The sequence below is a fragment of the Homo sapiens genome, chromosome 2 (genome assembly GCF_000001405.40).
Source record: "Homo sapiens chromosome 2, GRCh38.p14 Primary Assembly".
NCBI classification, from domain to species: domain Eukaryota; kingdom Metazoa; phylum Chordata; class Mammalia; order Primates; family Hominidae; genus Homo; species Homo sapiens.
In genome coordinates, this window is record NC_000002.12 from 91,487,171 (window position 1) to 91,494,228 (window position 7,058).

Genomic DNA, 7,058 nt, shown 5'->3' on the forward strand with positions numbered 1-7,058 from the left:
TCTGGGGCAGATTACACTCTCACCATCCGCAGCCTGCAGCCTGAAGATTTTGCAACTTATTACTGTCAACAGAGTGACAGTACCCCTCCCACAGCGTTACAAGTCATAACATAATCCCCAAGGAAGCAGATGTGTGAGGCTGGGCTGCCCCAATGCTCCTTCTGGTGCCTCTATCTGCTGAGGGAAGTTCTCAAACTCAGTCAGGTTTGGAAAGTCATTGGGAGATTTTCCTAGAGGAGGCCAGGGAGGTTCCTCTGAACCCTAAGCCTCTTTCACCCTCATCCCCAGCAGAAAAGATGTGACAATGCCTGTCCTGACTGAATAAAGAAGAGAGATAAGTCCAACTGAGGAGTCTGTGTTATGGGATAATCGGAATTTGTACAGCAAAAGAGAAGCTATTCTCAGTATTTCAAGGAGAAATTATTCAAGTTGAATAAATTAGAGCCTAAACCACAGTCTTTCCGAAGCCTATGGAATGTTATTCATGAAGCAGGTACTAGACACAGGGGATTCTCAGGTGCTACTTCAGAAGCCAGGGTGCACCTGCCCCTGGTGGTATGTGCTGAACACCGTGTGATGATCCTCAGGCCTGTCTGGGAAGCCCAGGTCTTCCTGTAGAAAGCCCAGGTCCCTGTAGAAAGGTAATCTGGGCCTGAGTAGGGGAAAGACAGACAAAATTCAGTTTAGACCAAAAAAAAACCAGTTTTTTTTAACTCAGTAAAGAACCTTTGGAAGTTAGAACAATTAGATGCAAAAATATTTCCTTTACACATTTCTCACAAAGCATGTAGAAATATAAAAATGCACTGACTGCAAGGGGGAAAAAGGATTTAAGTTAAAAAGGGCGGGGGGACATCTAAATGCATTGTACTTCAGGGTAGGGATTTTACAACACATAGTCCACATCATTTAAGAGTCTACAATATAAAACAACTAATACTGCCGGGTGCGGTGGCTCACACCTGTAATCCCAGCACTTTGGGAGGCTGAGGCAGGTGGATCACTTGAGGTCAAGAGTTCGAGACCAGCCTGACCAACATGGTGAAACCCTGTCTCTACTAAAAATACAAAAATTAGCCGGGCATGATGGCACCTATAATCCCAGCTACTCGGGAGGCTGAGGCAGAAGAATTGCTTGAACCCAGGAGGCAGGGGTTGCAGTGAGCCGAGATTGCGCCACTGCACTCCATCCTGGGTAACAGAGTGAGACTCCATATTAAAAAATAAAACAACTAATATTAATACAAACAAATGCAAGGTGTACAGTACAGTTTGCTAAAGCGTTTGTCTTTTTGCCATCAACAAGATCTTTTTATAAAGCAGGAAGGGTTAAAGTAAAATCAGTTCTTATATTCCCCTTGCACAAGCTTCATCATATATTTAAATTTTATGACAGATTCCTTAAGTGACTTTATTTTGGACCTCCCCTACAAAAAATAAATTGCTCCCTTTTCTCAATCCCCACCATTTTTCTCACCCACCTTGACATGTAATCCATAGAAAAAAGAAAGTGAAAGTTGGGAAAAGGAAAATTAGAGACAATGGCCTTCTGCCCATTCCTGCCCCCCACCCCAAGGAATTACTAAAACCCTACATTTGAACATGAAACAAACTGTAAACAACTTTTAAAGTCAGTAAAACAGATGGGCTAGGAAAGAGTAGCTCTCCAGAATATTAAGAGAACATTTACAACTGAAATACTATCTTTCACATAAGAAATTGAAACTATGTCACAAACACTAACTTGTTAAAGTGACTCATAATACCTCTTAAAAGTCACAAGGGCCTCAAAACTAGCTATAAATTTCACTATTCTCACATATACCACCACCCCCGTCTTTTATACTGACCCACTAAGACAGGTAACAATGTTATTTATGTATCTACAGTGCTTTCCATTAAGTGAGCAAGAACTTTACATTTAAGGATGACCTTGCCACATCCCTAAGGAATTGTGAGGATTGTGCAACTCAGGTTTAGCAAGTGAGCCATTAAACTTAATTCTCATTCAAACTTAGTTTGAATGACCTTTGTTTCTATTCTGTACCACAAGAAACATAAAATCCAACTTATCTAGTCTCTTATAACTTTCAAAATATAGGTAGTGTTGAGCTTTTCTTTTCATTTCAATATGCTCTTAAATTTTACATTACAATTAAAGGAAGGATTACATTTATCTTACTGAAATAAAAGTGGTCTGAAAATCCCAATTCAATTGTTTTCAGAGGAAAAGGCATCAAATATCCACAAGACTCTTTTGAAATTATATATTCTGCAGTGGGATAATTATGTTACCTAACCAGAATAGTAATGACACATGCATTTAAAGCTGATAAAAATGAAAGTCTTGTCAAAAGGAAGTGACAGCCCAACTTGTCAGGCCAAACATGCTTTGGCATAGAACTTTATATGCTCTTTAAAATGATTTTAATAAAAATAATAAGCTAATCAATGCAATCAAACTTTGAAGGTAATAACAATATCAATTATCAATTTTGTCCTCTCGATACTCCTTGGCTAGTTTTGCATTTCTGCTAACATCATTGGCCCTGGATGATTCTGAAACTTCAGCCTACAATACCGTAAAGTCTTTACTGTATATGTTCAACTTCAAGCATAAGAGAAGTTACAATTAAAAGTATAATCAGAGGCTGGGCACAGTGGCTCAGTCCTGTAATTACAGCACTTTGGGAGGCCGAGGTGGGAGGATAACTTGAGCTCAGGAGTTTGAGCCTAGCCTGTGCAACATAGCGAGACCACTTCCCTACAAATAATTTAAAAAATCAGCCAGACATGGTGGCATGTGTCTGTGGTCCCAGCTACTTGGGAGGCTGAGACAGGAGAATCACCTCAGCCCAGGAGGCCAAGGCTGCAGTGAGCAGTGATCACACCACCACACTCTAACATGGGTGACAGAGTGAGACCTTGTCTCAAAAAAAAAAAAAAAAAAAAAAAGGGGGTGGGGGGTGGGTGGCGGGGTGGTAATCAGGGCCAGGCATGGTAGCTAATGCCTGTAGTCCCAGAACTTTGGGAGACTGAGGTGAGAGGATTGCTTGAGGCTGGAGTTTGAGACCATCCTGGCCAACATGCCAAGACGGCTCATAAAAATATTAAAAATATAAAAAATAAAGTACAATCAGATTTCTCCTTTTCCATCAGATGGATAAAGTTCAGTAACTTAATAATATGGTAGAAAACAGACATTTATATGTTAGCTGTGGTGATATAAACCAGTTTCACTTTATAGAGGACAACTGGTAATATCTGTCAAGTTTATAAATGCATATACCCTTTAACTCAGCAATTTTAGAATGTTATCCTTCAAATATATATTTGTACATACATGAAATTATATAATACATTACTGATAAAACACAGACAAGAATATGTATACAACCCAAATGACCACCTAAAGGAGACTGGTTAAATAAATGAGTATAATTGAAAGAAAATTAGGACCTGAACTAAGACCTTTGAGAAAAGAGTAAAAGACTATGAGAATAATGTCAATCTTTTACCTTTTTTTCTCTAGAAAACTAAGACATTAGAAACAAAAAGTCTTAAAACACATTCCTACATAAAAAAAAGAATTCCTTCTGTAAAACGACCTCAGTCGAAAACATAATAATTGGTATAAATTCTTACTCTTTTAAAATAAAGATTAAATTCCAGCTAAAAATTCTCCAGATATGGCAGTATATTGCTCTTTGAATTGAACTGAGGAAGGGCGAGGGTGAGAGACATAAAAGATGAAAACAGTGAAAGGAAGAAATAAAGGGAAGGGAAAAAGTAAAAAGAAAAAGAGGAAAATAGGTCGGACACAGGGGCTCACACCTGTAATCCCAGAACTTTGGGAGGCTGAGGCGGGGGGATCACCTGAGGTCAGGAGTTCGAGACCAGCCTGGCCAACACAGTGAAACCCTGTCTCCACTAAACATACAAAAATCAGCCAGGCACTGTATTCGCAGCTACTCGGAAGGCTGAGACAGAAGAATTACTCAAACCCGGGAGACGGAGGTTGCAGTGTGCAGAGATCGCACCACTGCACTCCAGCCTGGGCGACACGGTGAGATTCCATCTTTAAAAAAAAAAAAAAAAGGCAGGGCGTGGTGGCTCACCCCTGTAATCCTAGCACTTTGGGAGGCCGAGGCGGGTGGATCACGAGGTCAAGAGTTCAAGACCAGCCTGGCCAAGATGGTGAAACCCCATCTCTACTAAAAATACAAAAAAAAATTAGCCGGGCGTGGTGGCAGGTGCCTGTAATCCCAGCTACTTGAGAGGCTGAGGCAGAGAACTGCTTGAACCCAGGAGGTGGAGGTTGCAGTGAGCCGAGACCACACCACTGCACTCCAGCCTGGGCAACAGAGTGAGACTCCGTCTCAAAAAGAAAAAAAATAAGTGTTATGAATAAATATGTTTAAAAACTTACAAATCATCAACTGCCATTTATCAGTACAACTAAACTTAATGATAACAGGATATATTTCTGGAGAAGAAAACTTTGGAATTATTTTCAAGGAAAATGAATGTTGAACTTCCATGATACTTTATGTGTATTTTTCACAGTATAGAAAATTAGATATTCACTTCCTAACCATCATAAACAAAAAAGATAAAAATAATAGAAGGAAGATATTTTACTATTTAAGTCTGCATGACAGAAAGAAAATTTATTTTTTTATTTAATTTTTTATTTTATATATTTATTTTTTTTGAGATGGAGTCTCACTCTGTTGCCCAGGCTGGAGTGCAGTGGCACCATCTCAGCTCACTGCAAGCTCCGCTTCCCGGGTTCATGCCATCCTCTTGCCTCAGCCTCCTGAGTAGCTGGGACTACAGGCGCCCGCCACTGCACCCAGCTAATTTTTTGTATTTTTAGTAGAGACGGGGTTTTACCGTGGTCTCAATCTCCTGACCTCGTGATCCGCCCGCCCCGGCCTCCCAAAATGCTGGGATTACAGGTGTGAGCCACCGTGCCCAGCTGAAAATTTATTTTTATATTATTTTCAATTCTAATTTGTCAAAAGGATATATGTAAATAGGAATATAAATCTTCTATATTTAAACAGGTTTATCTGCATACGTAATATCTAATAAACAATTAAAATATTTAAAATGTACCACTTAATTTATTAAAGCCCCCCCACCCTTTTTTTTTTCTTTTGAGACGGAGTCTCACTCTGTGGCCCAGGCTGTAGTACAGTGGTGCGATTTCGGCTCACTGCAACTTCAGCCTCCCGGGGTCGAAGTAATTCTCCTACCTCAGCCTCCTGAGTAGCTGGGATTACAGGTGCGCACCACTATGCCCAGCTAATTTTTGTATTTTTAGTAGAGACAGGGTTTTACCACTTGGTCAGGCTGTTCTCAAACTCCTGACCTCGTGATCCACCCACCTCGGTCTCCCTGAGCCCTGGGATTACAGGTGCGAGCCACCGCGCCCAGCCTTATTGAAGCCATTTTAAACTACTGTGCATTCTGAAATTTAAAAGGGCTAGGATTCAAAATTGAAATCACTGAGAAGTATATTCAAAATGAAAAATACACAAAATTCTTGGGTTGGACACTTTTCAGTAGCTTTTCAGTTACTTGCTATGGAATATAAAAAGCATTCACTTTTACAAAAATCTAAAATAAAATATTATAAAACTTGATTAATTTAAGGTTCTCATCTTTTGATTTGAACACAAACTTCAAAGTAAAAGAGGAAATATATAAGTAAAAGTCAATTATACGGTTACAGTGTACAGTGAAGTTTCAATAATCTGCTTTATGTCTTAATGCCTTCTATAAACTGTATCTATTCCCTCTGAAAAGCTTTGGATTATATTATCCTCTTAAATCTAGGCTGCTAGTTTTCTCTGGCACATAATCACTGCCTCTAGCCCTCTCTCTTAAAGACAGTGTCTTTATCAGGCTAGGCACAGTGGTTCATGCCTGTAATCCCAGCACTTTGGGAGACCGAGACAGGTGGATCACCTGAGGTCAGGAGTTTGAGACCAGCCTGACCAGTATGATGAAACCCCATCTCTACTAAAAATACAAAAATTAGCCAGACATGGTGGCGTGTGCCTGTAGTCCCAGCTACTCAGGAGGCTGAGACAGGAGAATTGCTTGAACCTGGGAGGTGGAAGTTGCAGTAAACCAAGATCACGCCACTGCACTCCAGACTGGGCGACAGAGCAAGACTCCATCTCAATTAAAAAAAAAAGCATCATTATCATTTGGTGACATCAAACTTTACCATCAGAATCACCCAGATGACTTGTTAAAACACAATTTTTTAGGTTCTACCCTCAGAGTTGCTCATTCAGTAGGTCTGGAGTGGGGCCCAAGAATTTGCATTTCTAGTAAGTACCCAGGTGATAATGCTGCTGATCTGGGACCACCCTTGGAGAACCACTGACTTAAACCATTTGTAACACAGTTAGAAGGCCAAAAACAAAAAACAAAGCAAAGCAAAACAAAACAAAACAAAAAGCAGGAAATAGTCTGTTAAGGAGCAAGGAAAAGAACAGTCCCAGAGGCCGGGCGCAGTGGCTCACGCCTGTAATCCTAGCACTTTGGGAGGCCGAGATGGGCGCATCACTTGAGGTCAGGAGTTCTTAACCAGCCTGGCCAATATGGTAAAACCCCCATCTCTACTAAAAATATAAAAAAATTAGCCAGGTGTGGTCGCAAGCACCTGTAATCCCAGCTACTCAGGAGGCTCAGGCAGGAGAACTGCTTGAACCTGAGGTAGAGGTTGTGGTGAGTCGAAATCATGCCACTGCACTCCAGCCTGAATGACAGAGCAAAACTGTCTCAAAAAAAAAAAAAAAGAAGAAGAAGCAAAGAATAGTCCCAGAACCCTCTTTTTTTCCCCAAAGTGTTGGGATTACAGGTGTGAGCTACCGTGTCCAGCCCCAGAACCCTACCCTTTTTACTCCACAGAAGTATGGAGTCTTATACAGGCCTTCAAGCTGACAGATGAGTACATACTAGCTTTTTGATTCTCTTCCAAATTCCTTATTTATGACTATACTTTTGGCAGTCTCCTGATAAAATGAAATCTACCAATG

The 7,058-nt window shown here is 40.5% G+C and overlaps 1 annotated feature.

Moving 5' to 3' along the window:
* Positions 1,685-2,235: an enhancer, noted in NCBI's record as "NANOG hESC enhancer chr2:91686545-91687095 (GRCh37/hg19 assembly coordinates)". NCBI's record gives its function as "activates a minimal SCP1, AML or CMV promoter by ChIP-STARR-seq in primed H9 embryonic stem cells {active_cell/tissue: H9 hESC(primed)}" and the evidence as "EXISTENCE:reporter gene assay evidence [ECO:0000049][PMID:30033119]".